The sequence below is a fragment of the Homo sapiens genome, chromosome 7 (assembly GCF_000001405.40).
Source record: "Homo sapiens chromosome 7, GRCh38.p14 Primary Assembly".
Taxonomy (NCBI): Eukaryota; Metazoa; Chordata; class Mammalia; order Primates; family Hominidae; genus Homo; species Homo sapiens.
In genome coordinates, this window is record NC_000007.14 from 64,337,593 (window position 1) to 64,358,907 (window position 21,315).

At 37.8% G+C, this 21,315-nt stretch overlaps 1 protein-coding gene and 1 pseudogene across 1 annotated transcript in view; both read left to right on the forward strand.

Annotated features, from left to right (window-relative positions):
• The window catches only part of ZNF736 (zinc finger protein 736), a 42,674-nt gene extending 23,632 nt beyond the window's left edge, over positions 1-19,042 (forward strand). The window contains exon 4 of the mRNA NM_001170905.3: positions 10,498-19,042. Coding sequence (NP_001164376.1) covers positions 10,498-11,555 — 1,058 coding nt within the window. The 3' untranslated portion in view covers positions 11,556-19,042. The remainder of the gene's footprint in view (positions 1-10,497) is intronic.
• TRIM60P18 (tripartite motif containing 60 pseudogene 18) lies at positions 17,498-18,807 on the forward strand (annotated as a pseudogene).
• Positions 19,043-21,315: the final 2,273 nt, after the last annotated feature.

The window sequence follows — 21,315 nt, forward strand, 5'->3', positions numbered from 1 at the left end:
CTTTTCATATAAACAAATGTTGGTAAATATGGCCAAATTCCTCAACTGTATGTATTATAGTTCATTGTATCTACTTCATACGTTTATTAAATATACTATGTCATTGGGGAGCTTAAAACATTGCTGAGTATTTTTTTTGTTTTGTTTTGTTTTGTTTTTTTTGGTTTTTTTTTTTTTTTGAGACAGAGTTTTGCTCTTGTTGCCCAAGCTGGAGTGCAATGGCACGATCTCGGCTCCCTGCAACCTCCGCCTCCCAGGTTCAAGCGATTCTTCTGCCTCAGCCTCCCTAGTAGCTGGGATTACAGGCATGTGCCACCACACCCGGCTAATTTTGTATTTTTTAGTAGAGACAGGGTTTCTCCATATTGGTCAGGCTGGTCTCGAACTCCCAACCTCAGGTGATCTGCCTGCCTTGGCCTCCCAAAATGCTAGGATTATAGGTATGAGCCACTGTGCCCAGTCTGCTGAGTACATATTAAACTCTCAATTTTAACTTTATTTTAAACGACATCGTTTTGTGGTTTTATTTAGTATGAAGCTCACTGTGATTGTGTCATTCATATGTATATATATAAACACATTTATATACGCATGTGTATGACACACATATAATCCCAGTAAGGCGAATTTTTTCACAAATAATAATTGAATACCTATGTATTGTATACAGTGTATTGATTTTGTATGTGTATACATAAAGAAATGATTAATACAATCAAATTAATGAACAAACACATTTATGACCTTACAAGTTACCTTTTTTGTAGTGAAAACAATTAAGATCTCTCAGCAAATTTTCAGCATACATAACAGTATTACTTTCAGTAGTCATAAAGCTGTACCTTAGGTTACCATAACTTGTTTGTCTTTTAACTGAAAATTTGTACCATTTGAACAACATACTCCACTTTCTCCACCTCCAGGGCCTAGCACTCACCTCTATACTCTCTTCTTCTAGGAGTCCAACCTTATTATATTCTCCATAGAAGTGAGATCATACAGTATTTGTCTGTTTCTGTGATGTTTCACTCGGCATAACATCATCTAGGTCCATCCATGTTGTAGAATGTCAGGGTTTTATTATTTTTTATGGCTGAATAATATTCTATTTTGTATACATGCCATGTTTTTTTTTTGTGCAGTCAGTTTCCACAAACACTTTAGATTGCTTTTGTATCTTGACAATTGTGAAAAATGTTTCAATGAACATGGAGGTGCAGGTATTTCTTTGAGATAGTAAATTTATTGTATATGCAGAAATGAGATAGCTGAATTGTATAGCAGTACTATTAAAAAATTTTTAAAAGAACCTACATACTAGATTTCATAATGTCTCTAAAAAATTGTACGTCACTAAAATTGTACAGCATCTTTTCTTTAATATATTGTCAACACTTGTTATAAATCTTCTTGATATTAGCAGTCCTAACAGGTATAAAGTAATATCTCACAATGAATTTAATTTGCATCTGCCAGATTGGTGACATTGAGCACCTTTCTATATACCTGTTGCCCAACTGTATGTTTTCATTTGTAAACATTTATTTAGTCCTTGGCTTATTTTTAAATTTTGTTATTACTATTATAGTTGTTGCCTTTTATTTGCATGAGTTTCTTATATATTTTTGATACTAACCACTTATCAGATATGGTTTTCTTATTCTATTTTTTCTTGGTTCTACAGAAGTGTTTTAGTTTGATGCAGTTTAATTTGTTTATATTTGCTTTTATTGCTGTACTTTTGCTGTCGTATCCAAAAATTCACTTCAAGACCAATATTAAGGTTTCTTCATATGTTTTCTTTTAAGATTATTAAGAATTTATGTCATTCATTAGAGTCCTTATTTTATATTTAGTTAATTTTTAAATATTGTAAGAAAAGTGGTCTAATTTTATTCTTTTACTTGTGGATATTCAGTTTTCCCAGCCCCAAGTGTGGAAGAGACTATATTTTCTGCATTATGCATTCTCAGTGGCTCAGTGTCAAAGATGAGTTGATCTTACAAGGATGGATTTGTTTCCGGGCTCTCCATCCTGCTCCACTGATATCGGTGTGCATTTTTATGCACACATCATCCTGTTTTTATTACAGTAGCCTTCATATGTAGTTTAAAATCAGAAAGTATAATGCCCCTAGCTTTGTTTTTAATCCTCAAAACTGCTTTGGATATTCAGTGTTTCTTGTAATTCCATATAAATTTTAAGATTGAATTTTCTATTACTTCGAAAAATTGTACTAAAATTTTAATAGGGCATTTATTGAATCTAAATTTTCCAATTTTATAAACTGCTCTCAGTAGGTACAAATCTTCTCTTGGGTCAATTAGCTGATAGAATCTTCTTGGGTATGCAGTGGAGAGGGGTTATATGTGGGTCACATGGCTGTTTCTTGGTCTGTTGTGGAGTTTGCTTTTAGTGGGTTTGTTACCAGGAGCCTGGGTAGTTGTTAATCCTGTCTTATTTCTTGGCAGACGGAATTGCCTTTAGGACTTGGATCTGTAGGGCCAGCACTAGGGCAGTGTTCTGCAGTACGGCTGGTATATGGTGTGCCTGATGTGTGTTTCTTACTGAGTATGTGGCAAGATTTCCCCAAGTAACTCTTTGAGTACTTAAGTTGGCAGAACTTGCCACAAACTGTGACTATCAGTGCTGAAACTGAGTCACTGAACTGTTTCAGAGAGCACAGTAAAGGCCAAGGTCTGCAGACCTACTGCTGTAACCACAAACAGGCATCTTTCTCTGGGTCTCTGGATATGCAGAACCACTCCTAGGCTATGGCTGGAAGGAGCTGGAGATGGTTATGGAGTCACTACAGAATTTTAAGTCAAGTCAAAATAGTTGAACCATTTCTTGACCTGTAGCCAAAGAGCAAGGGTTTTCAAGTTTGCCACCTATATGAGGACCTGCCTTTTCAAAATGACTTCAATCAATCTTTAGTTCTAGCAGGTTTTAAAACCCTCTCCTTGAAAAACAAAATTATTATAAAGGTCTCTTCTTTGAGAAGGAGTCTCACTATATCACCCAGGCTGGTCTCAAACTCCCGGCCTAAAATGATTCTTTTTCTGCCTCAGCCTACAAAGTTGCTAGGATTACAGGTGTGAACCACCATGTCTGTCAACATAATGGACTCCATGTAGTAGTTCTTATAAGACTTTTCTAGGGGTAATGAACACCCTTACCTTTGGTTCATGTTAGAAAGTCTTTATTGTTGTCTTATTTTTAAAGTAAATTTCTCCCAGATTAAGTATCCTTGGTTGGTAGCATTTTTTTTCATCACTTCGAAATTTAGGAAGTTCTTAGTGAGTCCCTTTTTTCTTCAAATAACCTCTCTGTGACTTTTCTCCTGCATTCTTCTTCAAAGACTCCTTTCATGAATACATTGGTCTCCTTAATCATATCTAATAAATTAGTTACATATTCCGTGTTGATGTTTTTCAACTTTTTTTGTTTTATTTTTTCATGACTCAATGTTTATAAATGTCTTTAGTTTTCTGATTTTTGTTTTCTGATCATTAATTCTGTTGTGACTCTACAAAATTTTTCAACAATTATTTTTCTGCCACAATTTCTACTGGTTTCTTTTTTTAAAATCTTTGTTCTATTTTTGTTATTGAGCATACTTAGTATCATTATTTTGACATCTTTGTCAGATAATGCAAAGATCTTCTTAAGGATTGAGTTTTGGAAATTTATTTCTTCAAGTGGGGTATGTTTTCTGTCTTTTTTTTTTATGTTACGTGATCCTTTTATGAAATTTGAAAACTTAAAAACAGCCATCTAATCTAATATTTAAAGACTTGCTTAAAGAATGGCTGTAGCAATGAGCCACGCTATAGATTTTTTAGTGCTTCACAAACATGTTCTCAGTTATGTCTTTGAACTTTTGTGTGTAATTTCTAAGTTAAAGAGATTTTTTCCTCATTTTCTTGTCAGATTCTATAATCTTTTGCTTCCTTAGATGACTGTGGCATGGCAGTTCCTCTAGTATTATAACAACATTCACCTTCTAGCAGATACAAACTGTAATTCTCATTACTCCATCATTTTCATGTTAAGGGAGACAGACTCTATTAATCAGAACTTTAAACAGACCTGTTGTTTTAGATTTCTCTTGAGGATAATACTGGGAGTTGATTGTGTTTTACTTAGACCAATTGCTGTTGAAGGAAAGAAAGGTTGTGTTGGAAAGTCTTTAAGCTAGACCTGGTTACCTTCTGCAGCATAGAAAGTATTACTGGAATGTGAAACGAGTGGAAAGAATAGCCATACACTCAGATAGGTATGAATGATTTAGCAGATAACACATGTGAAAGGTCCAAAGGTGAAGGAGAAAACAAGAGTTTAAAATGTGGATTGGGAGGCTGTTCTCCAATGGAATTGATTCTTGAAAAGCCTCTTAATGTCATGGAGGACAATTTTTTGATGTATGCTTATTAAGCTTTTGAATTCTTTAAGTCTTCTATCCATTTAATCTGCTGGTGCATTCACAGTGAGAGACAACTCCTTTTTATGCTGTAAGGATCTAAATAATCTAACTGCTCTTCTATTGCTTTGAGGGATCTGGAAAATTTGTCCAAATTTTTGGAGGTGTTTTTAAAAATCTGTGCATTATGTTAGAGAGGAGTAGGGAGATTTGGTTAAGAGATTTGAGAGAGGCCCGGAACAGATGTCATATGTTTCTGCTTTATAATTTCCAATCAGTTGATCATACAGAAAATGAAAGTGAGAACTTTTATCAGAGCACAAAGCATCTGATTAAGTACAAGAAAATCTAAACATCTATTTCACTTCAAAAGTATATTTTTCTTAGTAGGAACTAAACTTAGAAATTTAAATTCTATATGACAATTGCCTCTACTGTGGAATAGTTGATTTTATCTACTCACCTCACAGAATTCCTAAAAACACTAATACCATAGGTTACTTAGAACACTGTCCAGCACATAATAAACATAATAAATTCCAAATTGTTACCTATTTCTTAATAACTATTATTTTATAATTTTATCTTCTTTACTATGAAGACTACTAGGGCTGTGTCTTATATATATGTTTTTCTTTCTGATTTGTGTGTAACAACTATGCCTGTAATTTCACAAGTTCTGAAGTAATGTGCTCAAATGTATATGTTGTATAAAAGGTAAACTAGATAATTAATAGGCACACCATATATTATAATCTTTGATTTATGTTTAAGTTTACTGCATACAAAAAGATACTAGCATTTTCATCAACTTTTCTCAAACTTTGTCTATGTGATTGTATAAATTTATTTCTAATTATTTTATTTTATTCCATATTGTACTGTATTTATATTGTTTATATTATTTTAGTAATGTAATGTTTTGCTTCCAAAGGTTGCCTTGCCTTTACATTTTGTGCAAAAATAGCAGCTATACATTAATGACATAATAAGTATGTCTAGTATTATTTAAGTGCCTATTCATATTTTCTCATCAAAGCTTTTTATGAATGATTATAATGCATTTTCTATAAAATGTTATTGCTTTCACTGTATACCAGTGATTCAAACTTTATTGTCTTCAACAGCAATGACATGAAATCACTCTAGTTGCCCATCAGAGGTGGATTGGATAAAGAATATGTGGTACCTATATACACATTGAAATACTACACAGCCAAAAAAAATTGTGTTCTTTGTAGCAACACTGATGCAGCTGAAAGCCCTTATCTTAAGTAAATTAATGGAAAAAAACCAGAAAGGCAAATACTGCATGTTCTTACTTACAAGTGAGAGCTAAATATTGAGTATACAAGGATATAAAAATGAAAACAATAGACACTGGGGACCACTAGAGGAGGAAAGGAAGAAAGAGACAAGGCCTGAAAAGCTACCTATGGGGTACTGTGCTATCTATCTGAGTAGTAGTAGCAGTTATCCCAAACCTTAGCAATACATAATATACCCATGTAACAAACCTAGACATGTGGCCTCTGAACCTATAGGAAAAGTTGAAATTAAACAAAAATACCAAAATATGTGCTCTTTATAAATGTGCAGTCACAGTTAAAATGCATGGCTATCTAGAATAATTATTGTTTGGTAGTACACTATGTTGATTCAATATTTTTTGGTTAATTTTTTTTGTTAAATTTTGTTCCACCATTTTATATTTTAGTGGCTTATGTTTTACAGTAGCCTATGTCACATTAATTAATTGTGTTTTTAGTTTTTATGTATCATAATTTTATATGACAATAATTCAACTCTGTACACATTAAAACAATGTTTGGACAAAAGTCAGATATTGATCAGTCATACATATTTTGCCAATATAATTATTTCTGTGTTTGTTTGCCTGTGTAAATATTACCCCTATTTTATGACTTGTATATTTGCTTTTTTTTTTTTTATTTTTTTGTTAGTAGTCAATGATTGTTTTATTCTTAAGTGTAAGAAATACAAGGGCCGAGCATGGTGGCTCACACCTGTAATCCCTGCACTTTGGGAGGCGAAGGTGGGCAGGTCACCTGAGGTCAGAAGTTCAAGACCAGCCTGGCCAACATGGCAAAACCCCGTCTCTAGTAAAAATATAAAATTAGCCAAGTGTGGTGGTGCGCGCCTATAATCCCAGCTCCTGCAGAGGCTGAGGCAGAAGAATCACTTGAACCTGGGAGGCAGAGGTTGCAGTGAGCCAAGACGGCACCACTGCACTCCAGCCTGGGCTTCAAGAGCAAAACTCTGTCTAAAAAATAAAAATTAAAAAATGTATACTCTTTAATATTTTCAGTTATATAGTTCAGCTTTGTTAAGTATATTGACATTTTTAGCAACATATCTTTAGAACTTTTATTTTTGTAAAAGAAATATGCTATACACATGAATCCACTACTCATTTTTCCCATTGTCTGGCCCTTTACAAACATCATTCTATTTTCTGTTTTTAAGGATGTAACTATTTTACATATTCCATGTAAGTAGATTCATACAGTATTTTTGTGTGTGTGGCTGGCTTACTAATTTAGCATGTTGTCTTCAAAATTTGTCTTTATAATAGATATTAGAAGATTTCCTGCTTTTAAAAAGCTGATTAATATTCCCTTTTTTATATTTTAAATTATATTTATCGATTAATTTGGTAAGGAAAGTTTAAATTGCTTTTACCTATTGGCTTTTGTGGATAATGCTTCAATATGGTGTACAAATAACTCACTTGACCATATATTCAAGAGTTTATATCTGTGCTGCATTGTGTTTCATTACTTTGGTGTTCTACATTTATACCAGTACCAAAGTGCTTTGATTGATGTAGTTTTGTTTTGTGTTTGGAAATTGTTAAGCATAATGCTTCCAATATTTTTCTTCTTTTTAAAGATTGTCAGGCTTTTCATGTTACCTTGAGATCTTATGTAATTTTGTGGGTTTTTTTTTTCTTTTTGGAAAAGTAAAATTTATTTTATTATTTATTTATTTATTTATTTATTTTTGAGATGGAGTCTCGCTCTGTCACCCAGGCTGGAGTGCAGTGGCGCGATCTCGGCTCACTGCAAGCTCTGCCTCCCTGGTTCACACCATTCTTCTGCCGACGCCTCCAGAGTAGCTGGGGCTATAGTTGCTCGCCACCGCGCCTGGCTAATTTTTTTTTTTCTAGTAGAGACGGGGTTTCACCATGTTAGCCAGGATGGTCTCGATCTCCTGATCTCATGATCTGCCCGCCTCGGCCTCCCAAAGTGCTGGGATTACAGGCGTGAACCACTGTGCCCGGCCAGGAAAAGTAAAATTGAAAATTGAAAAGGGTGTGTTGAATGTGTGGGTCACTTTAAGCAGCATGGACATCTTCACAATGTTATGTCTTCCAACCCTTGAAAAAGAGCATGCTCAAAAGTGTGTTGTTGGTTGGGTGCGGTGGCTCATGCCTGTCATCCCAGCACTTTGGGAGGCCGAGGTGGGCACATCATAAGGTAAGGAGATCGAGACCATCCTGGCCAACATGGTGAAACCTTGTCTCTACTAAAATACAAAAAATTAGCTGGGCGTGGTGGTGCATGTCTGTAGTCCCAGCTACTCAGGAGAGGAGGCTGAGGCAGGGGAATCACATGAACCCAGGAGGTGGAGGTTGCAGTGAGCCGAGATCGTGCCACTGCACTCCAGCCTGGTGACAGAGCAATACTCCATCTTAAAAAAAAAAAAAAAAAAAAGGTGTGTTGTTTAATTTTTATGTTTTTTGAATTTTTCAGCTTTTCTTCTGTTACTGATTTCTAGTTTCATTCCATTTGGACCATAAATAATTGTCCGTAAAATTTCAATTAAAAAAATTGTTAAGACTTGTTTTGTGGTGTCACAGGTCATCCATCTAGGAAAATGTTTCATGAGCTATTGAAAAGAATGTGTATTCTGCTGTCTGTATACATTTGTTAGGTGTAATTATTTTATAGTACATTCAAGTTTTTTGTTCCCTCATTGATATTCTGTCTTGCTTTATGTATTAGTGAAAGTGGGATGTTGATGTTTCCTTCCATTATTATATTGCTGTCTATTTTTGCTTCAGTTCCGTCAATGTTTGCTTTATGTGTTTGGGAAAACTGTCTTGTATTTATAGGTTCTCAGTGAATGAACCCTCTTATTATAATTGAATGTCCTACTTTGTCTCTTGTGAATTTTGACTTAAAGTAAATTATATGAAATATGACCATTTTCAACTTAATAAATTGTTGCCTCTTCTCTCATTTGGTTAACACTTGCATAAAATGTATTTTTCATCCTGCCATTTTGTCTTTTTTTTTTATTAGATCTAAAGTGAATCTCTTGAAGACATGATATAGTTAGATCTTGATGTAGATCTTGATATATGTCATGATATAGTTAGATTTTTTTTTTCATTTTGGAAGATACTTTTGCTGGATATAGTATTCTTGCTTAGACTTTTTTTTTTTCCAGTGCTTTAACTATGTCATCCTGTTCCCTTCTTGCCTGAAAGATTTATGTTCTTAAATTTACTCGTAATCTTGCAGAAGCATGCATATAAATAACACGTCTCTTTCTTCTTCCTGAATTCCAGATTCTCTTCTTGTCTGCGACTTTTAAAACATTGCTTGTGTTATGTCTTGTTAGAAATCTCTTTGTGTTATCTTAGTTGAAGTTTGCTGAGCTTCTTGATTTTCTTATATTTTTTACTAATGTTGAAGTGCATATTAGTCTTTTTTTGTAGTTCTACTACACAATTTTTATTTCTTTCTGTGCTTTTTATCTTTTTGTTGGTTTCATTTTTGTTATTTCATTTTGTTTTTTTAATTTCCATTTTACTCATTGAGCATCATTGAGATGTAATTTTGATTTTCTAGGGTAATTTATTTTTTTCTTTTAAAAAATAGATCAAGACTTTAATTCAAATTGTCTCACATAATTTTTACATCTCCTTTTTTTAATAATTGATTTCTGGATATTCTTTTTTTTCTTTGAGCCATATTATCTTGATGTTTTGTTTATGTTGTAATGTTGCAATTTGTATAATAAAAAGCCACATGTCAAAATCTGTATTAAGTGACTTTTGTCTGAGGGAATATGATACCAATTTTTTAGGCTAGGGAGTCTTGGAGTCTCTCAAGCCTGTTCTATGGATGTTTTCTCTGAGCTTGTGTGTTTTTTAGTTAAAAAATGTTCGCCTTTTTTTTTTTTTTTTTTTTTTTTGAGTGTTACTCTTGTTGCCCAGACTGGAGTGCAATGTTACAAGCTTGGCTCATTGCAACCTCCACCTCCTGAGTTCAAGCGATTCTCCTTTCTTCTGCCTCAGCCTCCCAAGTAGCTGGGATTACAGGCACCTGCCACCACGCCCTGCTAATTTTTGTATTTTTAGTTGAGACAAGGTTTCACCATGTTGGCCTGTCTGGTCTTGAACATCTGACCTCAGGTGGTCCGCCTGCCTCAGCCTCCCAAAGTGCTGGGATTACAGGTGTGAGCCACCACTCCTGGCCATTCCCTATGTTTCTTATTGAGATCCCTTAGTCACTTGCTATACCCATTGTCTGTCTATGATACTGAAGTCTTTCTTCTCTTGTAACAGTCATTTACCTTTGGTCTCAGCTGTCCGAAACTGTCAGTGCATACCACCTTTCCTTTCAACACTGTCATGGAATATAGAAATTAGTCTTTGGTAAGGTCTCAATAAGCCAGAAGCATGGACACATGTGCCACTATTTTATTTATTTTTGGAGGGGGTAGACAGGAGTTTGGAGTCTATAGTTAGAGTCATCATAGGATGAAGAATGGCTGTGGTGGGTAAATATGAAATACTTTTATTACACTTCTATGTGGTTCTTGGCGTTTTGCTCACTTGGTGTGCCGCAAATGCTTAACTGGTTCTTAGACTTCTCACAAAGGCATTTTGGTCAGTATATTTCTGTTAGGTTTATATGTCTATAAGAATATAGAGCCTGTGGTATTTTATTATCGTTTTATTAATTGCTTTGTATAATTATATATTTGTGAAGTATATTCACCTGAGTCTAATGAGGGAGAATTTTATTTTTTTTCTCCAGCTGGTTCTTTTCATTTTACTGCAGAGATATTGCCGGATCATGACATAAAAGATTCATTTCAAAAAGTGATTCTGAGAAAATATGGAAGCTGTGACCTTAATAATTTACATTTAAAGAAAGACTACCAAAGTGTGGGTAATTGCAAGGGGCAGAAAAGCAGTTATAATGGCCTTCATCAATGTTTGTCAGCTACCCATAGCAAAACCTGTCAATGTAATAAATGTGGCAGAGGTTTTCAGTTGTGCTCAATCTTCACTGAACATAAAGACATTTTTAGCAGAGAGAAATGCCACAAATGTGAAGAATGTGGCAAAGACTGTAGGTTGTTCTCAGATTTTACTAGACATAAGAAAATTCATACTGTAGAGAGATGCTACAAATGTGAAGAATGTGGCAAAGCGTTTAAAAAGTTTTCAAACCTTACTGAACATAAGAGAGTTCATACTGGAGAGAAACCTTACAAATGTGAAGGATGTGGCAAAACTTTTACCTGCTCCTCAACCCTTGTTAAACACAAGAGAAATCATACTGGAGACAGACCCTACAAATGTGAAGAATGTGGCAAAGCCTTTAAGTGCTTCTCAGACCTTACTAATCATAAGAGAATTCATACTGGAGAGAAACCCTACAAATGTGAAGAATGTAACAAAGCCTATAGGTGGTTCTCAGACCTTGCTAAACATAAGATAATTCATACTGGAGACAAACCCTACACATGTAATGAATGTGGAAAAGCTTTTAAGTGGTTCTCGGCCCTTAGTAAACATAAGAGAATTCATACTGGAGAGAAACCCTACATCTGTGAAGAATGTGGCAAAGCCTTTACCCGCTCCTCAACCCTTTTTAACCACAAGAGAATTCATATGGAAGAGAGACCTTACAAATGTGAAGAATGCAGCAAAACCTTTAAGTGCTTCTCAGACCTGACTAATCATAAGAGAATTCACACTGGAGAGAAACCCTACAAATGTGAAGAATGTGGCAAAGCATCGAGCTGGTTCTCACACCTCATCAGACATAAGAGAATTCATACTAGAGAGAAGCTCCACAAGTGTTAAAAATGTGGAAAAGCCTTTACCAAGTCCTCATACTGTGTTCAACATCTGAAATTTAATACTGAACAAATGCAGTATAAATGTAATGACAGTGGAAGAACATTTATCATCTTAGAGGGTCTCTAAGAACTTACTTTATAATCTGGTTGCTTATATGTTGGGTACATATATAGCCCTTTGCTATTATGTAATGCCCTTTTTTTTTAAATCTATGTTAATTTCAAGTCTGTTTTGTCAGAAACTAGGATTGCAACCCCTGCTTCTTTTCCTGTTTTCTATTTGCTTGGTAGGCTTTTCTTTTTCCCTTTATTTTGAGCTTATTTGAGATGGGTGTCTTGATTAAAGCATACCATTAGATCTTGATTCTTTTTTCAGCTTGCCATCTGTGCTTTAATTTGGGTATTTAGCCCATTTACATTTAAGGTTAGTATTCATATGTGTGGATTGGATTCTGTTATTAGGATCTTAGCTGGCTATTTTGCACATTTGTTTCTGTGGTTGCTTTATAGTGTCCACAGTTTGTATACTTTAGTGTGCTTTTGTAGTGACTGGTAATAGTCTTTTTCTTATTTAATGCTTTCTTCAGAAGCTCTTTTAAGACAGATCCTGTGGTAACATTTTCTCAGCATTTGCTTGTCTGAATAGGATCATATATATTTTTTACTTCTGAAGCTTACCTTGGTCAGATATGAAATTCTGTGTTGGAATTCTTTTTTTAAGAATGTTGAATATTGGCCCCTATAATCTCTTTTGACTTGTAGGATTTCAGCTGAAAGATTTGTTGTTTTCCTGATGAGCTTCTTTTTAGAGGTGACCTGGCCTTTCTCTCTAGCTGCCTTTAACATATTTTTTCTTTCATTTTGACCCTGGAGAATCTCATGATTATGTGTCTTGAGGATGACCTTCTCCTGGGGTATCTTACTGGGGTTCTCCACATTTCCTGCATTTGAATGTTGGCCTCTCTAGGTTGGGGAAGTTCTCATGGATGTTATCCTGAAATACGTATTTCAAGTTGTTTTCATTCTCCCCATCACTTTCAGGCAATCTCTTGCATCATAGATTTGGTTTCTTTACATAATCCCATATTTCTTAGAGGTTTTGTTCATTCCTCTTTATTCTTTTTTCACTGTTCTTGTCTGTCTGATTTCAGAAAGCCAGTCTTGAGGCCCTGAGATTCTTTCCTCTGCTTGGCCTATTCTGCTGTTAATATATGTGATTACATTATAAAGGTTTTGTATTGTGTTTTTCAGTTCTATCAGGTTGGCCACATTTTTTCTCCAGACTGGCTGTTTTTTCCGTCAGTTCCTGCAATTTTTTTTCCTCCCTTGCATTGGGTTGCAAATTACTTTTGTAACTCAGTGAAGTTTGTTTCTACCCATATTCTGAATTCTACTTCTGTCATCTTAGGCCTTGCTGGAAATGTAATTTGGTCATTTGGATGAAAGAAGTCACTCTGGCTTTTTGTGTTTTTATCTTTGCACTGATTGTGTCTTATCTTTGTGGGCATATCTTTGAGGTTGCTGACCTTTGGGCTTTTTTTTTTTTAATCCTATTTGATGGTCTTGAGTATTTGATTGTGGTATAAGATGGATGCAGCCAACAGGCTTTGTTCCTGGGAGGTTTTTTTTGTTTTGTTTTGTTTTGTTTTGTTTTGTTTGGTGGTGGTGGTGGGTGGGCAATGCTCAGCTCACAACTCAGAGGCTGCATACTCTAACTCCGGGGGACTTGTTTTGAGCCCCAACTGTGTTCTCTGGCTCCTTGAGATTTGGAGTTTGCGAGTTTGTGGGATGAAGGTGCCATAGCTGGAGCAGAGTGCTAGTGGATATGGGATTTCTGCCTGTCTTTGGGTACTCACCTCAGTGGCAGGAGCAAAGCAGCTGGGAAGGGAGTGGGGGATACCTGCTGGAGGCTGTGTGCTGTTGCACTAAAGGTGGTGTTGGCTTGGGGCAGGATACTGGCCAGTAAAGGTTTTGATGCCTTCTCTGTGCCCCCCAAGAAAGAGTGATTGTTCAGAGTGTGGGAGGTTACCCTGTTCTCTGCACAGTGTTAGCACAAAGGCAGGGGTGGAGTTTTCTGGCTCTCTGCCCACCAAAGTTTCATCTACAATGGCAGTTGCTGGGGGTGGCGGGGCATATTGCATTCCCATTTGCTGGTGGGGCAAGCAAAGCCAAACCTGCCTTTGCAGACATGTGCCAGCAAAGAAATATCAGGAGTTGCCATGGTGTCACGGGAAGCTGCAGTATGGGGAAGAAATGTGGGCTGGTGCAGTCATAGGGGCTGCTTTGCTGGAGCTCTTCATGAGTCAGGCATGTCCCTCCAGTGCAGATGCTCTGGTATGAGCTTCCAGGGTACCTGAGACTGCCCTGTAAGCAGCTGTGGCCAGACTGGGTCCCTGGGAGAGGCCAGCAGACCAAGGAGTGCTCAGTTGGACCAGCTTCTTCTGATTTGCAAGACCATCCTGCAGAAATTAGGCCCAACAGTTCCCGTAGGGCTAAAGTCTCTTATGGGAGACAGTTGAGCCTAGAGAAATGGCCATCACTGGCCACACTTTACTACAGATGCTCTTGCACCAAACCCTCTGGCCACCACATGAGCTGGCTTGCTGCATTATCTCTTTGCTTGTCTTCTGGGGGCTGCATCTCAGAGAGATGTAGGTCAGCAATTACTCAGTGCAGCCAGCCCAGGATGGAAGATCTTTACTTTTGGCCAAGTTAGGGGTTTACTGTCTGCTGAGGAGCAGTGGGTAGTTTGTGGGACCCATGGAGGATGGGCTGGCTTCCTCTCCTTGGGTAAACTGCAGTTTGAGGTGTGAATAAGGCACTTAGGGTTTGGGATTTTTTATTAGTCTGAGGGTAGCAAGGACAGTTGTACTGCAGAGGCCCCTGGAGGCTCTGTCCAGGGAGTTGCTAAGCTGCTACTGGCTCAATAGCTCTGGCAATGATTGGCTAGTGGCCCGGGCCTGGAGAACCTGCCTCGTGAGAATATATGAGAACAGGCACTCACGTAACAGTCCGACCACTTCTGAAGGGCTGCTGCAGTATGCTGGGTGTCCACTACAGTTTCTAGTCACCTCAGATTTTCCAGTACTGGAAGTTATCACCACTGAATGCTGCAAAACAGCAACAATGGCAGCATGCCCTTTTCTCTGGGAGCGCCATCCCAGGGAGGTATAGACCTGTTGCCAGCCCAAAAGCACCTGTAGGAGGTAGCTGGAAGCCCCTGTTGAAGGTCCTACCCAGTGAGGAAAACATGATTGGGGACCCACTTAAGAAAGCAGTCTAGCCATATTTTTGCAGGACAGCTCTGCTATTCAGAGGTACCACTTCCACCCCCAGTTTATTTGGATTCTCCAAAGCCAGAAGGCTGGAACAGCTAACTCACACAAACAGCAAAAATGGCAGCTCACTCCTCCCTCTAGGAACTGTATCCCAAAGAGGTTTCAAAACTCCATCAACCAAAGAGCGCTGGTGGTGGTAGCTGGAGACCCTCATTGGGAAGTACTTTCCAGTGAGAAGGAATGAAACGGGGGACCTGCTTTAACAGGCAGTCTGGCCATGTCTTTTTAGAGCACCTGTACTGTGCTAGGAGATCCTTTCCGCCCCCCGGTCAGCTTGGGCTCTTCAAAGCCTGAAGGCTGGAATGGCTAAGTTGCTCAAGCAGCAAAGATGGTGGCCCACTCCTCTTTCTGGTAGCTCCATCCCAGGGAGGTGCAGTGCTGCTACCAATGGTTGGCTGGAATCTAAGCCAGTAGGTCTTACCACGTGAGGCATTGTTGAAGTGGGTCCTACAGACCATCACTATCAGCCCCCTGGATTCTGCCTCTTTCCTATGGGTATGTTCAGGGGTGTAACCTGCTTTGCTCGAGTTGCAGCTACTTTTTCTGGGAAGCCTGGAAAGCCAGTATCTAAGGCTCTTGAATCTGCGCAGGCCTAAGTGGCTTATCTGCTGAGACTCCATGTAGCTCTGTGTGTTAAACTGAAGGCCTTGGTGAAGTGGGTTCATGAGGGTATCTCCTCACCTGAAGGTTGCAGAGATCTGTGGGAGAATCATGGGTTTCTAGGGTCACACATGCACTCACTGCTTTACTGGGTGGGGAGGTTCCCTTGGCTCCATGTTGTTCCCAGGTGGCCCATTGTCCTGCCTTGCTTTACTCCATTCTCCATAGATTGTTTCTTTGATTATTCCCAATGCAAGTACCTGGATGTTTCAGTTGCAGGTGCTGTATTTATGTATACCTTGCATTCCTGTCTATGAGAACTGCACAGTCTAGCTGCTTCTAGTCAGCAATCTCGATCACTTTTCTCTAAAGGGAACCTACTTTTTTATATTAAAAGGATTCAATATTTTTCAAAAGCAAATTTCAATATAATTTAACTCTTACATTTGATGCTGTGTCTTCATTTCTAGAATTTATGTGAAAGAACATGGTCAGTGGTTGCACCAGAGTTGTGAGAGGTTCTTCTATATTAGATGGACAGATTTATATACTTTTCCATGGAGGATTAAGTAAACTGAAACCTAAGACACACGAAGAAATTCTAAGTGGAAAGGCCACTTATTAGTTTACAGCAGTATCGTAAGTGACAGGATGATAGGAGTGTGGTAAGTGATCAGGATAATAATCTGCTTAGTAAGAGAAACAATTTGAATTTTAGAAGGAAATTGCCTTACCATTTGCAAATTAAGGTAATTAAAATACAGTGAATTTCAAAATGCCTTTTTAATGACAATGTGTGAACTTAATTTGTTTTAATAAACCAAAATTATTGTTATTGTGTTAAGGCTATTTTACATTGAATGTGTATCTTGCCACTGATGTTAACTTATCCCATCTTACCCAAGGTTGTAGGTAACAATATACTATTGGGTGACAGTGGACTAACATCTCTAGTGATCCCTTTGTCAGTGGTCTTTAACTTAAAATAATTTAGAGAATATGGTTTCTACAACTTACATTTTTGTTTACTTGTAACTACAGATTATTATGATGGTTGTAATGAAGATTATGAGTATAATTGGAGCTATATGTTTCTGAATTCTGAACAACTATTTATAAAATTTTATCCTACTTTTTTCTGTTGAACATATGACTTCTCTGGTCTGCTAAACACATACAGACCTTTAGTTTTGGTTTACATGGATTTAAATATATAGATATATCACTGTAAAATAAACTTCAGGTGTAACAGATTTATAGAGAAAGTAATCATATTTGTTTATGGTTGTGTACCTACTTTGAGAAGAAAAGAAAAATATTAGAATGAACAGATAATTTTACAAGTGTTGATCACTTACCAGCAAACCAGAAACTTCAGAGATTTTGAAAGCAAATCTATTTTCTCTGCTGTGTATTAAATTCATTTATCTAAAATGTTATTGCTCCTGGCTTAGAATCATCTTGTGCAAATTCTTTTTTTGTTGTTTGTCTGTTTGCCTGTTGCTCACCATAGACATAATTTTCTTTTCATAAAACATTCTTTGTATAATCACCTCAGAGATTATGAAAGTGACTTTGATAAAATTTAATGGTGTTCACAAAATAATTTTCACGTGAGTAATTTCACAGTGCGTGTATTGTATGTTATTTAGTGTATTTTATATTTTGTTTCAATTAGAGAATGCTATTGAATCCAGTTTTTGTTTAGTTACTGTTCATTTTACTTTATAAAATTGACATAATTGAGTTTATTAAATTTATTGGGCCAATTTAAGTAAACAGTTGAACGTTTCATAAGTCATGAGGTCTTTTTGGCATATACATGAAGTAAACAAAGACAATACTAGCTATGTAATAGAAGCTACATAATTAGAAGTAAATATTCTTTTTGAAATTGGCCTGTGGTCTCAGGTGAAAAATGGAAAATATCTATAGTAAAAAAAATGACATTAATTCTGCATATGAAGAGAGCATAATTGTACCCATGCCACACAATTGACTCACAATTGAAACAAGATGAAGAGATGGACATTTTAGCAAAACTAAGTGAAAACCTTGTAAAATTTTCAGATTATGTTTCTACATTTAAACATCTACTGGGGGAGGCAGAGGCCAATTCTATGCAGTCAAACCTGGAATTGCTGACACAGGTTAAGAGTATGCACCACAGGTATCGAAACCTAAAATGCCCTGAACTCTTTTCATATAGATTAATAAAATATGGTTTTAGTCTTCCTTCTCTATATTCTGGCTTAGACAGAACTATCAAGCCATTTCAAGTAGATTTAATTCTAGATCTTTTTTTTTTTTTCTTTTTTTGAGATGGACTCTTGCTCTGTCACCCAAGCTGGTGTGCAGTGGTGTGATCTTGGCTCGCTGCAGCCTCCACCTCCCAGGTTCAAGCAATTCTCCTGCCTCACCCTCCCAAATAGCTGAGACTACAGGCACCTGCCACCAGGCCCAGCTAATTTTTTGTATTTTTAGTAGGGATGGGGTTTCACCATGTTAGCTAGGATGGTCTTGATCTCCTGACCTCATGATCCACCCACCTCAGCCTTCCAAAGTGCTGGGAATGCACATGTGAGCCACCGCGCCTGTCCTTGATTTTAGATCTTGACACAGCACATCCTCAACTTATTGTCTCCGAGGATAGAAAAGCTGTGTGATGGAAGAACAAAACCAAACATATGTTATAACCCAAGGAGATTTTATTTCTGCCCTGCTTTCCTGGGCTCTCAGAAGTGTAGTTCTGACAGACATTACTGGAAGGTAGAGGTGGGAAACAAGCCTAAATGAAAATTAGGTGTGTGTCAAGATTGTCTTCTTAGGACCTGGCAGGATCAGCCTTCAGTTCTGGGTTGATTTGGGGGCAATTGGATGATATATAGAGTGGTTATGCTGCATCAGGTCCTAAGAAAACCCACCTTCTGCCAGTAGTAAAATCCAGTAAGATTGGTATTCTTTTGGACTATGAATTGGGTGATTTTTTAAAGTAATATAAATAATAGGTTTGTTCTGTATATTTTAATGATCTTTCACAAGAGCTGTTTGGCCTTATTTCTATGCTGAAGCAGATTCTGAACGTCTTAAAATCTGTTCATTATCAGATGCTGAAAGATAAAGAGCAAGTAAATGAATCTATTTCAGTTTTTGTGGGTAATTTAGCCAGTAAATTTAATCTTATTTCTTTAATCTTTAAGTTTTACTACTGAAGGCCAGAATAGATTTTTTTCTCTTAAATTTTTGGCAAGTATAAAAGCACATTCAGAATGTCACTTTCATAGATACTATGAATATCAATTGTCAAGTGTGTTGATTTCTAAGATAAAATATTTGAGAATTAATATTACCCAACTTGTCCAATAAAATGTTTTTAAGTTGCCTATTTTTAAAAAAATCTATCAATTTTGAATTGCATACCTAGCTAAATTTTTTTAAGATTGAGGATAATATGTAAAATAATTTATACAAGTAATATAAACTAAGTTTACTTAAATTATTTACTTATTTAAGAAATCTAATTACATTTTAAATAAATTGCTGTTACCTGTTAGTATTTGTGTAGCATTTTTTTTTTAAGTTTTTGCCTCTAAAGCAGGTAACAATTTGAACAAAGAAGAAAACAAAAATTCAATGATTGGGAGGAAAATAAAAGGTTTGTATGATGACCTAATTAAGGTAATGTAAAGGATAAAAATCTTAATATTTGTTTTTACACATTTTTGGGCAAAAGTAACCCTGAGATAGTAATGTGCAGAAAATACTATTAATTATATTCTTGAGACTCTTACTGACTTTGGCACTTAGAGAACCTCCAGCACAGGCCCAGGATTCCCTAGGCATTTCTTATGGAAATGAAGCAGAAGGCCATGTCCACAAAGAGAAATGAATGCTCATCTTCCAGAGACCAGTAGGTACAGGTTGCAGAAAGAGTAGGCCCTTCTTGAAGGTCCAGGAAGGGGCTGTGGGCACCATCCTAGAAAAGGGGTCTGGGGCTCCATGGAGTCCTCCTGCCTGCAGGAGCCTCAGAGGGCCCTGGGTGAGGCCAGCCAAGGTGCTCTGTCCTGTCCCTGGCCCTTGAGTCCTGCCTCACCTGCTAGCTTTTTCCACCAAGAAATCAGGATGGCAACCGCCAATGCAGCCCCACTAGAGGAAGGAGATCAAGAGTGTCAAGGCCCACACCCATCTTGGCACATTAAGTGACCCATTGATTAACTAGTCAATAAGTTAGAGCGGAATGTGCTACTGCAATCCCCTGAGATCACATTCTAGGAGAAAACCTGGGTGGCACCTGCCTGAGGCTGTACACTGAAGGAAAGATGGTCAGGCCACCTGGGCTTGGAAAGAGCATGCAATAAGGGTAGCATACAGCATACATGGTGAGCTGTCAGGTGGGCACAGCGGGGTAGACAGGAGGAGTCCCTGAGGGGGAGAACCCTCTCAGGGCCCTGAACTCAGCCCAGAGATCCCCCAGCTTTTTGAAGCACAGGCTGTACCTGGAGCTGCAGAGTGAGCACTGTGCAGTGGCCTGGTAAAAGGGATGAGCAGCCAGTCACTGAGAGGCTTTCATTGCCCATTTTTTCTGATGAGCAATGTGAGCCCCCAAAGCCACAAGCCAGGAGGGGCAAAACACTGAGCTAAGGCATCACCTTTTTTCTTCACTTTCTCCCATGAGCCTCAGATCTCCCTGGGCTTGCCTTTAGAGAAGAAGATCTCTCTTGTGAGTGTAGGCATAGAAGCAACCAGTCGTGTGGTAAGCCTACCCAAAGTGTTCAGCACCCAGGCCAGAGCCGAAGTGGGCCTGTTAATCCCACTGCACAAGGCCCAAATCAGAGAACTGGCTTGACTGTTCAGCTGCACCCAGGCAGTGTGTGTACTGTCCCAAGCAGGTCCCATTCTCTTCCTGACTCCAATTATTTCACCTGCAACTTGTCATTTGTACCAGCTCTTTCTCTGCCCCCCACATCCTATGGTTTTTGAAATTCCTCTGAAGACTGTATGAACCAAGCTTTAAGGGTCACAGTGCTCTAGCCTACTCAGGCTGTGCCAGGAAGAGAGATCTCTCAACCTACCTTGACACTTAAGAGTCATGTATAAATAGTACCAACCCTAGCAGGAGGGCTGTCGCAGACTCTACTCTGGTCTCCATACCAAAAGATACATTAGAATGACGAGGAAAATAAGACACAGACCTGGCAGTTCTGCCTTTTAAAGAGCAGCCTCAGCCTGGTCACCTTGAACCACAATTCCAGGGTCTGGCTCAGCATGTCCCACCTTGGAAAATGGTGGAACTGGGGCCCCAGAATGTTATGGTCCAGTGAAAGTCTAGAGAAGAGGCACGTCAGCAGCCTGTACACACCCAGTCACACCTGTAACAGGAACAGGCCCTACCAACTGTGAAGCCATCTCATTAACTTAGACAACTGTACCAGCAATGTGCACACACATCAGGCCTTTTAGTAAACTGTCAACCCCATGATTGAAGAAAAAGCAAAAACTTTTTGAATCTAGAGTCTCAGGAAGAAGAACCTCTAGTGCCTGAACCAGCCTGTAATGATGGATGCAACTGACAGTATTAACTTGACTTGGGCATACCTGGAGACTGACCATGTATAAAAAAATGCTTCTGAATGTTCAGTTTTAAGCTAAAAAGTCTAGTAGGGGCCAATCTGGTGATTATTTTTTATTTATGAGGAACATCTTAGCCCTGGTCTGTCCCATCCTGTGGCGTGGAACACAGGCCACACAGGGGATTGAGGCCATTCCTTTTTTGTTAAATGAAGTCTGACAGGTGAAAGGTTGTTCAGAAAAAAAGTGCTAAATAAA